Source organism: Homo sapiens, chromosome 12, assembly GCF_000001405.40.
Source record: "Homo sapiens chromosome 12, GRCh38.p14 Primary Assembly".
In the NCBI taxonomy this organism is placed as follows: Eukaryota; Metazoa; Chordata; class Mammalia; order Primates; family Hominidae; genus Homo; species Homo sapiens.
The window spans coordinates 100,875,956-100,899,049 of NC_000012.12; the positions used below are offsets into that span (position 1 = coordinate 100,875,956).

At 39.4% G+C, this 23,094-nt stretch overlaps 1 protein-coding gene across 14 annotated transcripts in view; it reads left to right on the plus strand.

Moving 5' to 3' along the window:
• Positions 1–23,094, plus strand: part of ANO4 (anoctamin 4) — a 411,381-nt gene that overhangs the window by 158,695 nt on the left and 229,592 nt on the right. Inside the window, exon 1 of one of the 14 annotated variants that reach the window (XM_011537916.3) lies at positions 9,499–9,589. The exons of the other annotated variants lie outside the window; for them this stretch is intronic. Within the exon in view, the coding sequence (XP_011536218.1) occupies positions 9,580–9,589 (10 nt within the window). The 5' untranslated portion in view covers positions 9,499–9,579. Of the gene's footprint in view, positions 1–9,498; positions 9,590–23,094 lie in introns of those variants that run through there. 14 annotated transcript variants of the gene reach the window in all.

The following is a 23,094-nucleotide window of genomic DNA, read 5'->3' on the forward strand; positions in this document are numbered from 1 at the left end:
AACAAATCTTAATTTTTAAACAAAGTACAACCAGAGCCAGCTTCATGAGTGGGCAACCCATGCAGTCCCACAGGGCTCTCCTACATGGAAAGGTCCCATACTTGATGTAATGGTTTACTGTTGCAGTCTTGAAATTTTTAATAAATTACTTAGTAAGTGCTCCGTATTTTTATTTTTCGCCAGGCCCTACAAATTATGTAGCTTGTCCTGGGAGGAATTCTTTTTGAGGCAGTGGAAACTTGTAAGTGTGGGGTTCTGAAGGCAAGGAAAAGAAAACCTTTTGAGAAGAAAGAGATTGTGAGAGATCAAGGAATATAAAGACCAAAAAAAAAAAAAAAAAACAGTGGGAATTATCAAGATGGAATTGCTAGTGATGTCGACAAGAGCCATGTCCAAGGGTGGAGTGGGGGAGGATAAAAATCCTGTTGGAATGAGCTGAAAAGAGGAGAGCTGCCTATGGCCACAGTTTCCCCCTGCAGGGAGCAGGGAAATGGGATGATAGCTGGAAGGTTGTGCTGAGTCAAAGCATGTTTTTGAAAAATGAGAGAAATTAAAAATGTTTGTCTGCTGATGTGAGGGATTCAGGAGAGAGGGAGAAACTGATGATGCAGTGGAGAAAGGGAAGAATTACAGGGAAAGTACGTAAGTCAAGGACAATGGAGGACATGTGGAGGAGCTGGCTGTAAGAATAGTCATGTGATTCCATTTCAAAAGCAGAGAAGGCAGATTTCTCAAGACCATGTATTGAAGAGACTATCCTTTCTCCACATATGTTCTTGGAACCTTTGTTGGAAATCAGTTGACCATAAATGCATGGGTTTATCACTGGATTTTCTATTCCCTTCCATTGGTTGATGTGCCTGTTTTTATGCCAGTACCATACTATTTTGATTACTTTAGCTATGTAATATGTTTTGAAATCAAATAATGTGATGCTTCTAGCTTTGTTCTTTTTGCGCAAGATTGCCTTGGTTGTTCGGGATCTAAAAAAGTAAGAAATTTTGTCATTTGTGACAAAATGGATGAACCTGGAGGATATTATGCTAAATGAAATAAGCCAGGTACTGAAAGACAAATACTGCATGATCTCACTTATATGTGGAATATTAAAAAATAAAACTCATAGAAGCAGAGAGTAGAATGATGATTGCCAGGGGCTGAGGGTAGGGGACGGATAAAGGAGAGCTGTTGTTCAACGGGCACAAAGTTTTGGTGAGACAGGAAGGCTAAGTTCTGGAGATCTATTGTACAGCATGATGACTATAGTTAATAATAATATATGGTATATTTGAAAATTGCCAAGAGATTAGATTTTAAATGTTATAATCACAAAAAAAGATAAGTGTATGAGGTGCTGGATATACTAATTAGCTTGATTTAATCATTCTATAATATATGATATTATATATATATATCAAATCATCACATTTTATAGCATAAATATATATAATTTTTATTTTCCAAATATACCTTAATTTTTAAGAAACAGAGAAAGCAGAGTCTATGGGTTCCAGAAGGTTGGCAATTTGGGGTTGGTTCTAGACCACGTGCTTTTTTTTTTTTCTTAATGGAATATGAGGTGAGGTCAGCAGCTGAGGTGGTGGGAGGAGTCATGAGTTTGGTAAGAGTAACTTCAGAGAACTGAAAGGTTAATTTACTAGAAGATGGTAAGATTGCTGGGCAATCCTGTGCTGAGTTGCCATTTGAGATTTTGTGAATATCCATTTGCTGTCAACATCGTCGAGTGATGTTTTTTTCTCCAGCATCTTTCAGCTGCTCAGGTGCAAGTACAGAGTAGAGGGATAGTTGAGTTTAGACATGATTGGTTCTGTTATGGCTCTTATTTTACAGATGAAGGGACTAGGGTTCAGAGAAGAAAGTAACTTGCTAGTAATGGACAGAGTTTGCACATAAATCTTCTCTGACCCTCGACTCCAGGCTCTTAAGCAGTATGTCATATTTCAGAGCTGTTCTTAATATCATGGAATAAAAAGTGTAGATTCTGCAAACTTCTATCCCTTCCCCTAGTGGCGAGCAGGTGAATAAGCAATACTGTAATTTGTATCTCAACTTTTTTTTTCCTACTAGCATTATCTAAAAAGGGTATCTCAGCTAGTTACCAAATCCCAGCCTTGGGAATCACAAAGCAATATTGTGCATTGAAGATATGCTCATGGGATAGAAAAAGTATCACTGAGTTTGATCACCATCTCTCCTGCCTGCTGGCCATGTGACTTGCAGCATGGTTGTAAGAATCTGTTCAGCATTAACTGAGCACCTATGGTATGCCAAGCAGTAAGGAAGATACTGAGAAGATATTGATGAAACTGAATTTTGTCCTCCTAAGAATTATAGTCCAGGGAATTCAGTGAGATAGTATATGCACAATGTTGTGTCCAACACAGGGTGGGCACTTAATAGGTGTTAATTCTCTTTGCCTTCTCTATCCATTTGTCCTCAAGTACCTGATGACACCTCTTGGTGAAAATATCAACACTCACTGAGATACTAAATGAGGGCCCCACTCATGTGTAAATATCCAATGATGTTAATATTTAAAAATTAGTTCCCATCCACTGAATCAGAATCTCAGCAACTTTGAGTGAAGGCAGGACCCTTAACTGAGTTGAGTCTTCCTCTACCCATAAAAATATACTGTATATAACTTTTTCCTGAAGCTATTGGAATGAATACAAGTTAGCATGATTGTCTACTGGCAATACTAGAATAATCTCCCTAAGGCGTGCTGTTTTCTGGCTGGAAGTTATTTTATTCTGTTGAAATGTATTTTTTTAAATGAAAGGGGCATTTCCTTTTCCTATATTATTTGCTTTCAAAAAGCGAAGAGAATTCTTTAAACATGGCAAATTAACCACTGGTGAATCTTAAATTTTACCTTCTCAATGATGCATGTTCTGATTCACCAGTCAATATTTATTTCTAAGCCTTCAGATCTCAAAAAGGTCTATATGGTACCTGAGTTAGTGCATCTCAAGTAACCAACCCCTGGGAAGGTGTTTTATTTCTGTAACACAAATGAGGCAGGATTTTATGCCCCTGGAGGGGAGATGTTTGTCTTTTATCTCTATATTGGGGTACCTAATACAGGAAAGAGTGTTAAATGAATAAAGGAATGGACCCACAGTGGGGAAAAGGAGCTTGCTTGATATCAGTGTGTTTGAATTTATTACCATGAATCTCACTTTCTAAAATTGCTAGCACTATTAAAGTTTCTGACAGTGAAGCAAGCCATTGGAACATGTTTGTGGTGTGAATATTAGGTGTATTATTATGCACTCAATTTAGCTTTTTTATTTTATATAATTTCTCTCCAAGTGGAAATCATGTTCTAGGTAAAGGAACAAGAAATTAAGCAGTGTGGAGGTTAGATTCAACTTCCACTAATGGAGAAGATGACTTTGGATAACTATTGGCTCCAGTTTCATTTGGGGATTAGGGATTGGATTAGAATTTGTAAATCTAATTGTTGTTTCTCTGTAAAATTGGGAGACCCTCAGGGTTGAGAGCAGATCTTCCTCTTTTGCATCTATTTCAGCACCTAGCCCAGTGCATTGTAAATGCTTAATAAATACTAGATGAATTAAAAGTGAAGTATTCTATTTATTCTTTAGAGAAAGATACACAGACGTTTTTGCCAACCAGCAGAAATGAAGGCAGCAACCACTTCTAGTTTATCTTGTATTCCTAGCATCAGGCAAAATGATAGGGACATGGTAGGCATCCAACAACTGTTAATTGGCTCCTCCAATCACCCTTTTTTGTCATCCTTCCACAGGAATTTATTGAATGCCTTCTAAGTGTCAGAAACTTGGTTTATATTAATGAAAGAACACATTCCAGAGGAGTAGTTTTATTTGTATAGGCAATTACAAAGTAATGGGATACAGGTTATAATAGAAGTATGTAAAATTTCACTGAAGTTCACAGGGAGGAGAACCTCATCTGCTCGGGAGTTGGGGAAGACACTCCAGGATGATGAGGGTTGAGCTATTGAAAGAGGAATGGGATTTGTTAAAGTGGACCAGGGTTTGAGGGTATTAGAACACACTCCAGTTAGAGAAGATGGCACACACATGTTCTTGGAGCTGTGATATAGCACAGTACACATTGTAGGGGTAGTTTAGCATGGCTATAGGAAGAAGTGGGTAACATAGGGGAAGGAGGTATGGACAGAATTGAGAAACAGGGATGATTCTGGGAGGTTATTAGAGGTCAGAGTTTGAAGAACATCTCAAAACAGGAAATACTGACTGGTATCTGAGCTTCTCTAGAAGGCTGAAGTTAAATTCTATAGGTCATGTCTCAGTAATAGCAGTGGTAGTAATAGCAATGGCTAATATTTATTGAGCATTTGTTAGAGACAGGTGCCTTTCTAAGCATTTCATCTTCTTAATAACTTATAAGGTAGATATTGTCTTTATCCTCATTTGACAGATGAGGAGATTGAAGCGTAGAGGTGCCTCATTCAAGGTCACCGAGCAAGTCCAGACTTTAACTCAGAGGGTCTGGCTGCAGAATCTGTTCTTAATCACTATATTATATTACAACGCAGAAAATATAGTGTTGTAATGCTCCAAAGTTAATTTATACAATAATACAATCACAAGGATTAGAACTTCATTCTCACTTTAAATCCAAACAGCAGCATGAATCACTGCTTCTGCCTTTCATATGTTTTTTAATGGCTTGATCATTGTCTTCCTGATGATTTGATTATGTGAGGAGGGCAAGTTAAGGTCACTGCCACTAGGTGCTCACTGTTGTTGCCCATATGCAAGACCTCAGTAAAAGATGTCTATATGGCGAATGTAACTTTTAGCCAGGTCTTTGCGCTATGAGAGTATTTAGTCTGTCTGATCTTTGAAGATATCTATGCATGGACCATTGGCTCTAAAATCCCCCTCTTTGTATCCCCACAACAATGCATATTTTCATCTAGTGTACTCTTAAAAGGGGCCAGATTTTGTGAACATAGATGCCTGTCCTTCAGAGTTTATTTATAGAATATGCTCCAAGCTCAATTCCCACCTATGAGTGAGAACATGCGGTGTTTGGTTTTTTGTCCTTGCGATAGTTTGCTGAGTATGATGGTTTCCAGTTTCATCCATGTCCCTACATGGACACAGGAAGGGGAACATCACACACCAGGGACTGTTTTGGGGTGGGGGGAGGCGGGAGGGATAGCATTAGGAGATATACCTAATGCTAAATGACGAGTTAATGGGTACAGCACACCAACATGGCACATGTATACATATGTAACAAACCTGCACGTTGTGCACATGTACCCTAAAACTTAAAGTATAATAATAATAAAATAAAATAAAAAAAGAAGAAAGGCAGGAAGAAATGGAAGAAGAAAAAAACCCATTCCTTTATATTATAATACAAATGCATATTCATATTCTGAATTTTAACATTAACATTATAATAAAACTGTTTTTATCTTTAGGAAAAAAAAAAAAAAGAATATGCTCCAAGCATTTGCTTCTCAAATTCTCCACTATTGGATAACAAATAAGCCATAATGTAACAGGATTTTCATTTAGGTTTTTCCATTAAGCCTTAGCCATGGATTGTGATGGTATCTGGTTGAGGCCAGATCTGAGTTTAGTTTTTACTCTGCTGCCGAAATTGTTGTGTGATCTTGAGCCAGTCATTGCACTGTTCTCAACCTCAGTTTCCTCATCTGGAAAATGAGGGTGTTGGAGCAGACGATCAGTGAGCTTTCTCCCAACTCTTAACATTCTCTACTTGTAGAGTTTTTATAATCAAACACAATTATGTAAAAGAGAGAAAAGCAGTTGTCATGGAAACTGTTATTTAATACATAACACTGTTTCTTAATCAGCCTGTTTTCCTTGAAGAAATTTGCTTCTCTTGTGATACAGGCCCAAAGGTCTCCTAATTCTGCCTTTAGAAAGGCTCAGATTTCAGTTCCATCACTTAAGAATTCAATGCATGGAACCAGTTACTTAACCACCCTGTGCCTAAATTGCTTTATTCTAAAAGTGGTATTGACAAGAATACTGACCTCATAGTGTGGAGCATCAGGCCTGATGCACAACAACAAAAATGTTAATGATAATAATACCAATACAGATAATATTAAAAATATCTAATGTTTATTGAGTTACTTATTGCTACTCTGTGCTAGGCATTAGTAAATGTATTAACTCATGGAATCTTCAAACCAACCCTGTGGGGTAAATGTTACTATTAATCTCATAATTAGATCAAGTTACGTACTTGTCCCAAGTCACACAACTTGAACGGGGTGGAACCAGAATACTTGTCGAGCTACATAGGCCAATTTCAGAGCCTACACTCTGAACCATTAACGTTTCTCAATAATAACACTGTTAATACATAATTGTGAATAACCAGCATCTTTTATGGCCTTTGCTATATGCCCAAATCTGTTCTATCCTATGAGGTAGATGATATCATCATCTCTATTTCGTAGATAAGAAAACTGAGACCTCTAGAGGTTAATTAAAAACACATAGTTGGTAGTAGTGGAGGCAGGACTTGAACTCTTGCAGTCTGGCTCCTGAGTTCATATTTTTAACGATGATATCTCAGTATGAGCTATTATTACCCTACATCCAGTTCAGTTTTGTGTCCATGAATGATGTAAGATGATTATAGCTCCACCCACTAGATGATGTGAGCCTTTGGCAGTCTTCTGGAACTCTGTTTTTTTTGTTTGTTTTTTGTTTTTTTGTTTGTTTGTTTTTGAGACAGAGTCTCTCTCTGTTCCCCAGGCTGGAGTGCAGTGGCATGATCTTGGCTCTCTGCAACCTCTGCCTCCCGGGTTCAAGCAGTTCTCCCTTCCTCAGCCTCCTGAGTAGCTAGGATTATAGGCACCCGCCACTGTGCCTGGCTAAGTTTTGTATTTTTTAGTAGAGACGAGGTTTCTCCATGTTGGCCAGGCTGGTCTTGAACTCCTGACCTCAGGTGATCTGTCCGTCTTGGCCTCCCAAATTGCTGGGATTACAGGTGTGAGCCACCGCACCCAGCTGGAGCTCTGTTTATGCTCTTTGTTGATTCCCTATTGTGCTCCTAACTACCACAATCGTTTATGGAAAAGCCAAGCTGCGACACAAGTATCTTGCCATGTCTTATAAAATAAAACAAGAGGAGATAAGTACAAAAGTCTATGAATTTCAGGCCAGTAAGCTCTAAAATTTCAAACAGCAAATACAGTCCGTAAAACATTTGAGAGAGAGTTTACTTCAGTAGCTCCAATTATCTGAGCAATGTTTTCCAAATACCTTAGCACCTATTGATCTAAGAGTGAAGTAGGAGAACTTCTTTAAAGATCAGATAGTAAATATTTTCAGCCTTAAGGGCCATAAGGTCTCTGTCATGACTGTTTAACTCTGTTAAAGTGCAAAAGCAGCCATAGATGATAGTAAACAAATGTATCTGTGTTTCAATAAAACTTTATTTACAAAAACAGATGGTAGGCCAGATGGCCCAGAAGCCATTGCTTACTGACCTCTAATCTAAGAGAGAGATAGCCTACTGATAAAGTATTTAATGCCAATGGGTTTTGGGATAAGTGGCCTCTTGTACGTGCATAAAAGCAATAGTAATGACATGTTTATTTTTTCCTTCCCTCCTCATTTTTAATGAGTCCTGATCTTGCTGTTCCACATTTACTAAATTAGGTACTGGCAAAATGTGATAGTGTAGGCTTACACTATTCACATTACTATCTGCTACTTGACTCAATATATTGAAATTTGACTTTAAGGACAGACTTTCAGCAGTAGGAAGCAATGTTGACAAAACAACTTTTAAAAAAGATCATATAGAATGAAAACGTGGATATGTGCCTTGTTTTGAGCTATCTCAAATCCTTTTGCTAAATAAGTAGGGGGTAAATTATTTTAAATGGGGAAAATGGAACACAATTTTTAAATATTTTAAGGCATTTCAAATGGGCCTTAAAATACAACGGTTGTCCTCTGGAGGGATTTTCATTAATTATTAACCATATCAGAAATGTAATTAAGTCAGTGCTGAAATTAGTCAAGATCAGCTTTATAACTCAAATCACATAAATAACATATATGGGTTCTATGAATTAATCATTGTAGATTTGATTAAAAAGTTCCATTTCAAAGTTCATGCAATTTAATGTCATGTTGTTTCTGTTTTTCAAACATTTGTTAAACCAACTGTCTATAGAGGCACATTATATGGCTAAAGATCTAATTGCACCATTGTTAGCATAGAACTGTAGTCAGTAAATAATTAGTGGCTTGCATTGTGAAGTTTTGATAAATTTTTAGGCTTCTCTGAATTAACATTTGTCTTATGGTCAGTTAAGGAAATTAAATATCGATTAAGGAAATTCAGACAGGGCAGCTTCACAGTCTCCCTCCTCCACAGGGCCCCCCATGACCACTGCCTTGGAGGCTGTGCTGACTTTGGGGAAGGCCTATCAGTGGCTGTGACCTGGGTTAAGCTGATGGACCAGGGGCATTTTTGAGAATATTGATTAGATTAAGGAGAGGTGGGGACCTGTATTAGTTTTTTATTGCTTCTGTAACAAATTACCACACACTCAGTGCCTTAAAATGTCACCAATTTATCTTACATTTCTGTGAGTTAGATGTCTGGTGCAGGTCTCACTGGGCCAAAATCAAAGTATTAGCTGGGCTGTGTTCCTTCTGTCTTTCTGGAGACTCTAGGGGAGAATCTGTTTTATGGCCTTTGTTTTTTGGGATGGAATCTCGCTCTATCACCCAGGCTGGAGTGCAGTGGTGCGATCTCAGCTCACTGTAATCTCTGCCTCCCGCATTCAAGCGATTCTCCCGCCTCAGCCCCCCGAGTAGCTGGGATTACAGGCATGCGCAACCATGCCCAGCTATTTTTAGTATTTGTAGTAGAGGTGGGGTTTCACCATGTTGTCCAGGCTGGTCTTGAACTCCTGACCTCAGGTGATCCGCCCGCCTTGGCCTCCCAGAATACTGGGATTACAGGCATGAGCCACCATACCCAGCCTCGGTGCCTTTTCCAGCTCCTAGGGCTGCCACATCCCTAGACTCATGGTCCCTCTTTCATGTTTGAAGCCAGCAACATAATGTCTCTCTGATCCAAGCCACCAAAGGTTCTCTGTTTTTGAGGTCTTATGTGATTAGATTGCCCCCCTTCCTTTTGGATATCCCAGGATAACCCCTCCATTTCAAAGTCCTTAAATCTGCAAAGTCCCTGTTAGTCCCATGTAAGGTGACATATTCACAGGTTCCAGAGATGAAGAGTTGGGCATTTTAGCAGAGCCATCATTCTGTCTACCACACAACCGACATTCAGTGTATTGGATTCACTGTCGGCGCTTCCTCTGTTTACCAGCCCATCTTCTTATGTTTCAGCTTCTTGTGTCCTGACACCCATTTTTGTCTCAGTCCACTTTAAACCTTGTTCTTCTCAGTTCTCAATTTCTCTGACCTTCCTTTAGCATGCAGTCCAGTGGACCTTCTTCTGCTGAGAGCAGTATTGCTGGCCAGGCTGTCTGGGTTCAAAGCTAGGCTGTGCCTCATAAACATGACCTTTGGTAAGTTATGCAATATCTCTGTAACTCAGTTTTCTCATCTGTAAAAGGAGGATAAAGAATGTGCCTGGACTACATATGATTGATGTGGTGATTACATGCATTAATATATTCATCACTCTTAGAACAATGCCTGAGACATAGTAAACCATCAATACATGCTAACCATTGTTGCTGTGAATTTGGTTACTCTCCTTTTGGGTGCTGGTAGAAATTCCCTCAAGATTTTATCTGTGATTTCTTGTATTTTCTTCGGAAGTTGCAGCTTCTCTCAAAGCTTTAGCATTCATCCCTAGGCAAAGAACTCCAGCTGGACGCATTTCCAAGCTCTATACCTTTATTTCTGGCAGTACTAGGTGAACATTTTTGTTTGGATGTCCCAGGGGAGCCACAAAGCTGAACTTAACATCTTGCCTACCGAAATATTCCATCCGTGTTCTTATTTCTATTACTGTCTTTAGATCCGAAGTCAATTTTTATTCTTTCCCTCTCATTTACCACTAAACATCAAAAAAGTTATCAAATACTAAAGACTCTACTTTCAAACTATCTTTTAATCTATTTGTGTCCCCACTTCCACTGCTCTGATCCAGGCTTCTATGACCGTTACCCTGATTTGTTGCCCCAGTTGAAGTAGAACAGTATTCTTAAACCTTTGCTCTGATTATGCAACCCCCACCCCCAGACCCGCCCCTCCCTTCCACCTTGCTCCAGCATCTTAAGTGATTCCCCGCTGTCTTAGCATGGAGACTACATCCAGTGTAGCATATAAGTGAGTTTTCTTCAGGAATTCCCTAAAAATTTAAAAATTTCATACAAAAGTATGTTGTGAAGATCGTTGCTTTCAGTCTCAACAACCAGTCACTGCTCACGCATCTTAAACATGCTTGAAACAGGACATCTTTTCCTTTCATGAATGAGCCTTGTTCTTTCATACCTGAACCTTCACCATGGGGGGCGTGCTCTTCTCCTCCATCTCTGCCTATGAGAAATCTACCCAGCAATGAGGCTTAGTGACAATACCCACCACTCTCTTTGTGAAGCCTTCCCTGGTAGCCTTTCCCTGAACCGTGTAAGTCAGAGGTCAGCAAACTACAGCCCACAGGCCAAATCCAGCCTATTGCTTAGTTTTATAAGTTTTATTAGAACTCAGTCACACTCATTCGTTTATGTATTGTCTGTGGCTGCTTTTGGGTCTACAGTAGCAGAGTTGAGTAGCTGCAACAGAGACCATATGGCCCACAAAGCCCAAAATAAATTATGCTCTGGCTCTTTACAGAAAAAAACATGCTGACCCCTTTCTCCCCTCAGAGATTACATAGTCTACCTTGTGCATCTTTGACATCTCCTTCTGTTAGAGTCACTTCTGCACAACTTTTTTCCTGGCAAGAACGATCTCCTCTTGTAGACATAGATTCTGCCTTTTTCATCCTTGTTTCTATCCTTGGGCCTAGCAGGGGTAGGGCTCAGTAGTTGTTGGGGACAATAGATTGCCTGTAAAAAAATTTTTTAAACTACATTTTGCTCACTTGGCTAAGTGACAAAAATCTTATATAAAGCAGTGTTCCCTTTAGGGGGTTAGTGCTTATCATTTGATGTTTCTGGTAGTAAACCATTTCATGTTTCACTTCGAGAAGCGCTTTTTTGACTGCCAAGATAAGCTGCAAAATTGAGTCCAAGGATCTTAAGAAATAATATTCCTAAGCCATTTAAGCAGCTCACTTGGTGATCTCATTTAATAAGTGGTCCACTGAAATTTAGGATTGCAGAGTATACTTTTTCATTATGCATGGGTTTCACCATGTGAGGTAGATATCTAGTTCCTACTCAGCTATTTTTGTTGACTGCCTAGGGTATGATAATATTTGACCATGCTACTCTCTTATGAAAAATGCCAAATAGTTAAATTTGTTTTAGGAAAACCAGAGATTCCTCTCTTGCTCCTAAAGGAGAAACCAAATGACCCTGGGTTTCTTTCTTTTTTTTTTTTCTTTCTAAAACCCAAGAAGTATTGATGTCATGTCCTCCTGCGAAGTGCATTAGCTGTCCTTGCCTTTGCTGCTTTAGTACTGGGGAATGCCTCTGTCAGACAGTGAGCTCATGAGTGCAAGGACTCTGTCTTTTAATTTCTGAATCCTCAGTGTTTGGCACAGAGAAAGCTCTTGACAAATATTTATTAAATGAATAAGTCAATAAATAATTGAAGATCTCAGAAAGAACCTTTTCCCCAAGGTATTACTTTTAAACTATAAACTTACAATTGCCTACTTCTATCTAGTTCACATCCTTAAATATCACTTGGGAGAATTTCCTGTTGTGATGATATAGAGTTTATGTCTAGCTGTGGGAGGTCAAGGGTGGGCTACGTTGTGCCTAAGTCCACAGAACACAAGGAAAACCCTTAAACTTTTGTGAGGTGACCGGAAATAAATATCTGCTTCCTAAGTATTTCCCTGAGTGAGAATGTAAAGGTTTAAGATAAATTAAGTATCACAGGGTGAGACAAAGTGAGAAATTCAGGATTTAGATTGGCATTCAGAGCAGGGAGGGAAAAAAAGATGACCCAAATTGACACAAAATGAGAAAATCTTGGGAAATAAAAGTAAACGGTAGCAAATGTGATGTATTTGAGAACCTTACAAGGAGGTTTTCAGTATGTTCCAGTTGATTTATAGGATGTAGAAACATTAAGTGTTAAAATGGAAAGGGGTGGATTTTCAAGACTCTCACAGTGAGGGTTCAGTTAGGAATCAGAATTCCAACAAACAAACAGATTTTAATAAAGATGTTACAAAGGAGAGGCTGGGTTATGGAAATTGACAAGAGATGGTGAAGCACCCAGGGTCTAGCAAGGGTGAGGAGCCTTTATAAAACATGCCTCAAGAGGCAAGGGCAATATTGGAGCCGCGCAAGAGCAGGAGCCCTGGGAAAGGGGCTACCCAATAGGAGTAGACCTTGCAGAGGGCTTTCCAAATGGCTAGGGCCCTCACAAGTATTCACACAGGAAGGGAGCAGGGAAGAAGTAACTCAGCCTGTTTTTCCTCCCAACCTTTAGCTCCTTCTTGTGCCTCCATTGGCTGAGGCCAACTGGAGGCCTGTGAGGGAGCCCAGGTGATGAAGGAGTCACCTTCCCAGGACACAGAACAGGTGGAGAATGGATTTGAAGTAGGTGGAGGCCCACAAAACGTCACCAGCACAGGGACCATCTCCAGCCTTTCAGTTTACAAATGAGGAAAACGAGGCCCAGACTGGGGGAAATGAACACCTTGGAAATTCATCCCTTTCAGCCTTAACACTTAATGTTCTTTTTTTTCTTTTTATAGGTAGTCTCTTATTTTTATTATTATTATTATTATACTTCAAGTTTTAGGGTACATGTGCACAATGTGCAGGTTTGTTACATATGTATGCATGTGCCATGCTGCTGTGCTGCACCCATTAACTCGTCATTTAGCATTAGGTATATCTCCTAATGCTATCCCTCCCCCCTCCCCCCACCCCACAACAGTCCCCAGAGTGTGATGTTCCCCTTCCTGTGTCCATGTGTTCTCATTGTTCAATTCTCATCTATGAGTGAGAACATGTGGTGTTTGGTTTTTTGTCCTTGCGATAGTTTACTGAGAATGATGATTTCCGATTTCATCCATGTCCCTACAAAGGACATGATCTCATCATTTTTTATGGCTGCATAGTATTCCATGGTGTATATGTGCCACATTTTCTTAATCCAGTATATCATTGTCGGACATTTAGGTTGGTTCCAAGTCTTTGCTATTGTGAATAGTGCCGCAGTAAACATATGTGTGCATGTGTCTTTATAGCAGCATGATTTATAGTCCTTTGGGTATATACCCAGTAATGGGATGGCTGGGTCAAGTGGTATTTCTAGTTCTAGATCCCTGAGGAATCGCCACACTGACTTCCACAATGGTTGAACTAGTTTACTACTCATCTGACAAAGGGCTAATATCCAGAATCTACAATGAACTCAAACAAATTTACAAGAAAAAAACAACCCCCTCGAATAGTGGACAAAGGATATGAGCAGACACTTCTCAAAAGAAGACATTTATGCAGCCAACAGACACATGAAAAAATGCTCATCATCACTGGCCATCAGAGAAATGCAAATCAAAACCACAATGAGATACCATCTCACACCAGTTAGAATGGCAATCATTAAAAAGTCAGGAAACAACAGGTGCTGGAGAGGATGTGGAGAAATAGGAACACTTTTACACTGTTGGTGGGATGTAAACTAGTTCAACACTTAATGTTCTATATCCTCATAAATCAGTGTTCAAATGAGAAAGACAATAAGGACTGACTGAATAAATAAATGGAAGAATAAATTAATTTGAAGAATAAATGAATTTTTCATATCATAAATCCATTTTTCACCAACATGTTTGCTAGGTGGCATTCTAACCTATCAGTGGACCATAATATATTTAACTATTGCCCTATTAACAGTTATTTTTCTAGTTTCTAATATTACTATAATCATAATTATTATAGTTATGTCAGTATTAATTATAATTATGATACTAAGTACTATTTATTGAGTATGTCAGGCACCATGCTGTGTGAAAACATATACTTTTTTTAGCCCTTATTATGAATATTTGAAGTATGAATTTAAACTCCCATTTTGTAAAAGAGGAAATTGAAGCTCACGTAGTAACTCAATCATAACTCATCAGAAGTTCCACAGCTACTACAAGATAGACCCAGAATATGCACGAATATCCATTCAACACAAAAGTCCATCTCTCTATTGCTTCCCTATTTAATAAAAATTTTGAATGGAACATTTTCTTACGTAACTGTTAGTATGTCTTATCATTTTCTTGAGATAACTTCCTAGAAGTAGAATTCTTGGGTCCAAAGAGATGATCCTATTTTTAAGTAGTAAGAAATAACATTTAGTTGCAATTTGAAACATATTAAATATCTGTGAGAGAAACCTTATATGGGTATGAAATTTTTAGTTTTGTCAAATGATCTGATTGCGAATGGTGAGATAGCCATGTCTGAGAGCCCCCATTTTCTTATGTTACCAGCAGTGAAGAGCATCTTTTTTAATAGCCTGTATTTTTTAGAGCAGTTTTAGGTTCACAGCAAAATTGACTGCAAAATACAGACATTCCTTGTGTATCTCCTGCCCCTACATGTGCATAGCCTCCTCTATTATGACCTTCCCACACCAGAGTGGTACAATTATTACAATTGATGAACCTACATTGACACATCATCACCCAGAGTCCATAGTGTGTATTAGCGTTCACTGTTGGTGTTGTACATTCTGTGGGTTTTGACAAATTTATTACAATATGTATGCACCATTATAGCATTAAACAGAGTAGTTTTATTGCCCTAAAAATCCCTTGTGCTCTGCCTATTTCTCCCTCCTTTCTTCTTTCCTCGTGGCAACCACTGATCTTTTTACTGTCTCCATAGTTTTGCCTTTTCTAGAATGCCATGTAGTTGGAACTATGTAATATGTAGCCTTTTCAGACTGGCTTCTTTCACTTAGTAATGGTTCTTGAACATTTAAGGTAAGTAAATGGACAGTTAAGGTTCCCACATGTCTTTTCATGGCTTGACAGTTTGTTTTGTTTTAATGCTTAATAATATTCCATTGTCTGAATGTATCACAGTTTATTTGTCAGTTTACCTACTGAAGGACATCTTGGTTGTTTCCAAGTTTTGGCAATTATGAATAAAACTGCTGTAAACATTCATGCGCAGGTTTCTGTGGGAACATAAGTTTTCATCTCACTTGGGTAAATACCAAGGTGCATGATTGCTGGATTGTATGGTGAGAGTAAGTTGAGTTTTGTGAGAAACTGCCAAACTGTCTTCCAAAGTGGCCATACCATTTTGTATTTCCACCAGCAGTGAATGAAGGTTCCTGTCGCACTGTATTCTTGCCATCATTTGATGTTGTTGGTGTTTTTGACTTTCACTATTCTAATAGATGTGGAGTGGTATCTCGTTGTTTTAATTTGCAATTAATTACCCAATGACATCTACATTATTTTTTAAGATTTATTTTTATTTTAATATTTTATTTATGTACTTATTTTCAATTAACAAATAAAAATTGTATATGTTTATCATTTATAACATAAAGTTTTGAAATGTGTATACATTGTGGGATAGCTAAATCAATGCAATTAATACATATGTTATATCACATACTTGTCAATTTTTATGGTGAGAATGCTTAAAATTACTCTGTTAGTGATTTTTAAGAATACAATACATTATTATTAAGTATACCCACTATTTTGTATAATAGATCCCCAGAACTTATTTCTCCTGTCTAAATGAAATTTTGTATCCTTTGACCAACATCTCCACAACTGAGCTCCACCCCCCAGCTTTTGGTAACCGCCATTCTACTCTCTGGTACTTATGAGTTCAAAATTCCACAAATAACTGAGATCATGTGGAGTTTGTCTTCCTGTGCCTGGCTTATTTTACTTAATGTCCTCCAGGTTCATCCATATTATTGCAAATGACAGGATTTTCCTTGTTTTTCTTTTTAAGGTTGAATAGAATGTCTTTGAATATATCCACCACACATTTTCTCTGTCAATTTTTCCATTGATAGATACTTAGATTCCATATTATGGCTGTGTTTTGGCTATTGTGTCTAAAGTTGCAGTGACCACAGGAGTACTGATAGCTGTTGGACGTACTACTTTCATCTCCTTTGGCTATATACTACAACATTTAAAGAGTTTTAAATCACTCTTTATGAATTAAAAAAAATCTCAGGTTGTTTTCACTGTAGATGGGCTAGTAGGGTTGAGGAAAGGAGAGTGGGAAGGCTAAGCTATTCAAGGTTGTCTTCAATGACCACTTTCCCTTACTCACCCCCTCTTCCAAGGTCTTAGCTAATCTCCCAGGGACTGAACACTCTCCAGACAAAATCAACGTAACAGAAGTCTGGCATTTGAGAATATTTGAGTTTAGTTACCTGTAGTCTTCCTTAGGTATCCCTAGAAAGATTAGTTCCTGGATAACCACCTCCCTCCCTTCCCCAGATACCAAAATGTTCAAGTCCCTTACATGAAATAGCAAAGTATTTACATATTACCTATGTGCATCCTTCCATATACTTTAAATAATCTCTAGATTACTTATAATACCCAGTACAATGTAAATGATATGTAAATAGTTGTTATACTGTATTTTAAAATTTATTTTCCTTTATTATTGTTTTAATTGTAGTTTTTTTTTTTCTGAATATTTTCTATCCGAGGTTGGTTTATTCCACAGACATGGGAACTGCAGATAAGGAGGGCCGTCTGTACTTTGTTTGATACCTGTCCTGCCGGCTCCCTGCCACCCCCGGCACCCTCCGTTTCTTTCTAGAACTATTTACATTAATGTCTACTGTGAGCTAGGCATTGTGATAGGCATGAAATAAGACACAGTCCTGGCCCCACATTCAGGGGACATATATATAGACAATCACAGTGCAGTTGGGTAGGTCTTGGTGTAGTTATGTACCAGGTGCTAACAGAGTGCAGGGGAGGGACATGTGAGCTGAGGGTTCTGGGGATGCTTGGTAGAGTTAGGGGTTGGGAATAATGGGGTTTCTTCAGAAGGGTGGTGAATGAGCTGATCTTAGGAGAATATATTGGATTAGGGCTATGAAAGAGAGCATTTCAGGCAAGAAGGAGGATTTTTTTTTTTTTCATGAACTCACTACTTAGGACCAAACTGTGAGCACCAGCACTGTTTCATTTTCACCTTATGGAGACCATTATTGGAGGTGTGTTCATCAAGTTTTTTCTATGAACCAACAAACCCAAATCTCAGTGGTTCACACCCAGAAACATTTGTCTTTTTGTTCAGAGTTTTTTCAGGCAGCTGTTGTTTGCCTGATATTGGCTGGTTTAAGTAAGGCTTGGTCCAGGTTGCAGATCAGGTTTGAGTTTGTTCTTAGTGTCTCCTTCTGGGACCCATGGCTAGTCGGGACATGTGCTTTTTATGATAATAGCAGAAGCAAAAGAGACCAAGCCTAAACCACACAAGCACATTTCTGCTTTCATCTGTTTGCTAACATCCCTTTGACTAAAGCAAGTCATGATGGCCAAGTCCAAAACCAATGGAGCAGGGAATATACCTTCTCTCTCTATTGGGAAGTACTAACAAGTCACATGGCAGAGAGAAGTTATGAATTACGAATCAGGGGCAATAATCTACTCTGCCACTGTGGTTTCCTGAAATGAAGTCCTGATAGAATTTGGTCGCAGGGGGATTAAAAGGGAGATTCTCACTCAGCCTCAGCAACAGGAAAGAAAGAAGTTACAAAAAGCCTGTAAAGAATCTAAAGGAGGATTTGAAGGAGAGAAAGCACCAATAATCTAACTGCAGCACTTTATTTGAATTTAAGTAACGCTGGTCAAACATTCTTACAGGCTCTTACCCTTTCTGATCTATAAATTCTTCATGTAGATATTGAGCCAAAGGTTAGATCTAGAAAATATTATATCTAGTCCTTAGCATGTTGGTTTCTTTTCAATGCGCTTAAACGCTCAGTTAACGTGGCTTTAGACATAATTGTAACAGAATTACAAAGGACAGCACCTTGGCAGAAAGTTCTTCCTGGTTTTGATGTGTTGCTACTGCCAGATTTTTGTGACATGCTGATGCTAATCTGTCAAATAGCCTGACACTAAGTGAGAAGAGAAATAAAAGGAGGCATGACAGGGCCAAGGACCTGGTGTGGTGGAGGATGGTTGGGCAGTAGCAAATCCTCTCATCAGCCCTACTGAGACTAAGCAACAACCTATCTTCAGGTCTCTGGGTTCGGTGGTTGGGGGGAGCGGGGGCGGTCCTACGTGGGTTAGAACTCATACTACTCTCAGAAATGCACCTACTTTCAGTTACCCACCAATTCTGATGCTCAAAGCCCCTCCAAACCTGTTTTCTGTGGGTCCACCTGAGCTCGCTTAACTAAGATAGCACAAATTCTGCCCCCTCTTATGGGAACATACCTAAGCTAATGACACATGAGGTGCTACCTCTTCCGCATGTATACCTACGTGTTTGAGCTTTTTCCTCCCTTGGATGTGGGAGGGTATCAGTCTATTTTATAAACATTTTGTCAAGTGTCCTTTGAGTCAAATAAGAGAGGATATTAGAAAAGCTCCAGAAAACTTTGGGAGGCCGAGGCGGGCGGATCACGAGGTCAGGAGATTGAGACCATCCCGGCTAAAACGGTGAAACCCCGTCTCTACTAAAAATACAAAAAATTAGCCGGGCGTGGTGGCGGGCGCCTGTAGTCCCAGCTACTTGGGAGGCTGAGGCAGGAGAATGGCGTGAACCCGGGAGGCGGAGCTTGCAGTGAGCCGAGATCCCGCCACTGCACTCCAGCCTGGGCGACAGAGCGAGACTCCATCTCAAAAAAAAAAAAAAAAGAAAAAGAAAAGCTCCAGAAAGTTTGGAAAAGTAAATTCAGACCTGAGAGTAACCAAGAGAGTTCCCACCTTCCTTCTGGTCAATGTTCCAGGAAGGCGAAGCACTGGATTTACCCTCCACTTTGCAGTTAAAGAGGAAACTCGAAATAAATATTCCCTTCTACAGGTTTTTTTTTTTAATTAAGAATAGATGAGTCTTATGTTTTGTGTGTGGTGGTGACATTCAAAACATAGTTTTTCAGTGTTTTGAAAAGTAATTTACCTAAGAAATGACAAGAAGAGTAATGCAACACATAGACAGCATTGCTGTGAGTTGTAAAACATTGACAGAACGACAAATGTTCCTGTGGCATAGAGTCCTTCTGAATCACAGAAATGACATTTGGATGAAAGCAAATCATTTTTACATAGGCACACTGCTAACTGTGCAGTGAAGCCAGAAATAGCACACCTTGGAAGTGGGCCAGAGAGAAAGAACACCTAAGAATTTTATGTTATTCAGAAAAATTTTCACTTTTTCGGTAGGATTTTTGAGGAGTAAAGAAAATATTTGAGAGCCTTAAAGAAAATCTGAGCTTTGTTTTTTTTTTTTTTTTGAGACAGAGTTTTGCTCTTTGTTGCCCAGGCTGGAGTGCAGTGGTGCTATCTCAGCTCACTGAAACCTCCGCCTCTTGGGTTCAAGCGATTCTCCTGTCTCAGTCTCCCGAGTAGTTGGGATGACAGGCACCCACCACCATGCCCAGCTAATTTTTGTATTTTTAGCAGAGATGGGGTTTCACCATGTTGGCCAGGCTGGCCTCAAACTCCTGACCTCAGATGATCCACCCGCCTTGGCCTCCCAAAGTGCTGGGATTATAGGTGTGAGCCACTGTGCCTGGCCTTTGATTTTTATTTATTAAAATATTAGTCATTTATTGTGTTCCCGTATACTCATCAAGTGTCTCTTGAGAAAACTCAGACCAAGCAGGAAACATAGGCTTGATGTTTAGGAGACAGAGTAAAGTGGGAGGCATGACATGGGGAGCTGATCACACAGAGATTACAGATGGAGATAAGGAGTGCATAACATCCCCAAGGATGGACAGGATGGAGAGAAGAAAAGGCCAAAATCAAAACTTTGGAAAATGCCCACTGTGGTGGGCTGATAATGGCTCCCAAATATCTGTCCACATTCTAATTCCCAGAACCTGCAAGTGTTACCTTGTTTGAAAAGAGTCTTTGCATATGTGGTTTACTTAGGAATCTTGAGATAGGGAGATTATCCTCCATTATCCAGGTGATCCCTAAATGTCACAACCAGCGTCCTTATAAGAGAGAGGCAGAGGGAGATTAGACACAAACACTGAGAAGGTGATATAATCACAGAGATAGAGATTGGAGTGATGTTGTCACAAGGCGAGGAACACCAAGGAATGCTGGCGCCCGTGAGAAGCTGAAGGAGGCAAGGAATGGATTCTCCCCAGAGCTTCTGTCTACCTTTCTGGAGTCTTGATTGGCCTACAGGTGTTCAGTTTGCACTTCTGTGGAAACAGGGAACATACAGCAGTGACACAGAGCCCTGCCGACACCATGGTGAGAGACACCTGGCCTTCAGAACTGTGAGATGATAAAATCTTGTTTGAACTCATCCTGGTTGTGGTAATTTGTTAAATTGGGCTTTGGGAACTAATATACCCACCTTTGGGAACAGGAACAGAAAGAGTTTAAAAAAGTAAGGGGAGGTAGCAAGAAGCTTAAGTGTCATGAAAACGAAAGCCAAAGCAAGAGTTTAAAAACAGATGAGCAGAGGCAATGGTATAAACGCTAGAGCCTAAAGCCTAATGGGTAAAAATGAAGATTGAGGAGAATCATTGATATGATAGAAGCTAATGATGGCAGCTAACTTGTACTGAGCACCCATTATGCTGGACATTGCCATAAGCACTCTGCAGATATAAACTCAATTCTCACAAAACCCTATCAGGTATGAATTATTGTTACCCCATTTTACAGGTGAAAAAACTGAGGCAAAAATTTAAATAAATGCATTAAGTAACATAGGTGGTAAATGGTGTGGCCAAGATTTGAGCCCAGAATTCTGGCTACAGCATCCACATTTTAGCCACTACTTTGTACTAACCTCACCTTATCCCCCAAGGTGTGTGTTTCCCAAGGTTCTGACTTTGGGTCTTTTATCAAGTAAGGTAGATGATGTGTCTCAAGAGGAAAAGGTATTTTTGTAATGATTATTTGAGGTTGAAAGGAGGAAGATTAGGAACTTTATATCACCTGGACCCCATCTTCTCAGCTGAGTTGGAGAGGAGGCTATCTGATGAGGCTGAGGGAGGCAGCTAAGTTTCTGACCTCAGGGAGCCTAGGAAAGACAGTGAGGATACAATAAAACAGGAAGCACTAAATGAAAAACTTGCTGCACAGTGAAGCATGCTCAGTGTTATTTCCTTGACTGGCTTTTGGCACTGTGCCATCTGTGCCCAAGATGTCTGCACCATGTAGCGTGCCAAGTGCAGAAGGAAAAGGGACTGAAGGGGCATCATCGCCCCACACCTGCCCTATGGAAAGTACTTTGTTCAGAGACGAAGAAGGAATCCGAAAACTGCACAATATGACCTTTGTCATTAGAAACTCTTGAACGTTTGAGAAATGGACCATCCATGTACTGGCAGATGAATGAGAGTTCAAGGGCATTACATGATAAGGGCTAATTGCAAGACTAGAGACTGGAGTGGGTCAGAGGAACTGAAATGTGTCAAGGGGAAGGTACAGCTCTAGATAGTTCTTACTAAGGTCTTTGACAGCTGATCAAGAATCAGGAGGACATTTCAGCCTGGACGATGCCATGGGCCAAGCATGGGAGAGGGGAGAAACAGATGGTTCTTTAAGAGCTTAGGCCAAAGGACTCTCAACATTCTGGGCTTCCAATCTGTCCCCCACCCAGGATAGCTTTCTGTTAAGTTACTATTCAGAACCACTGCAGGCTTAAAACAATGAGTGTTTATATTGGTATTGAATCCATTAGACTGCATGGTATAGTGGAAAAAGGCAAGGTTAAAATATCAGTTAATCACTTTGTTGTGTGACCTTGGTCAAGTAACTTCTCGAGCCTCAGATTTCCCATTTGTAAAACATAGATACCAATTCTCAGGCTCTTATGGTTGTGATGATACATTAATGGGATAATGATCAATATCGAGTGTGGTGCCTGACATTTAATAGATAGTGTCAACAATTTTTTTTTAGACTAAGAACAAATTGGATGATGTAATTTATTGGCTGACAATTCATTTCTAAAGATGTGACTTCAGAATGTTCTATAAATGTTAACATTTTCAAATGCCCAGAGTATATTTTCTATCTTGCATACTAGCTATTTATTTACAAATCTCTTTCTCCCATTGACTTAGCCCTTGTGTGAGGAGAGCTCTTTTAGGCTAGGCCCTTTATCTGTACTTTGAGGACCCTTAATTCCTAGAGGAAGAACATGGATTTTTCTCAGGCATTAAAGATTCCTTCCAAATTTCCATGTAACATACCCACTTTCCTCATACCTATCTTCTCCTGGTAATATTCTTGAATTATTTTTTATTTTTAACATTTTTTGCTATGATCTACATTATTATATTTTAAAAACACAATTTCAAGTTATATATTTTAAAAAAATGCCATTTATTTCCATGATACAATTTCTATTCTCATTTACGTCATTTTGTGCTTCCTTCAGAAAAGTTATATAAAAGCTAAAAGTGCTGTGCTGAGTCAGAATCCTGTTCCCCTCAGCCCAATAAGCCTCTGCAAAAAGGAAAAGAAGAAATTTTTTCAGGAGAGCAGTCTATTTCATATTTGCAGACTGAGAGTGCATGTATCATCTGATGTTGACTTAAAATGTCTCTCCCCTTCCCTTCATCTGTCATCCACAAAGCTGTTTGCATTCTTCTGGAGTCTTGATGGGTCTACAGATGGTTCAGTTTGTACCTCCGTGGAAACAGGGAACATGCACCAGTGGCACAGAGCATGGTGGAGTGGAAGAAAATCACTCCACCATGATGTGGATGATGCATGTGTGGTTGATGC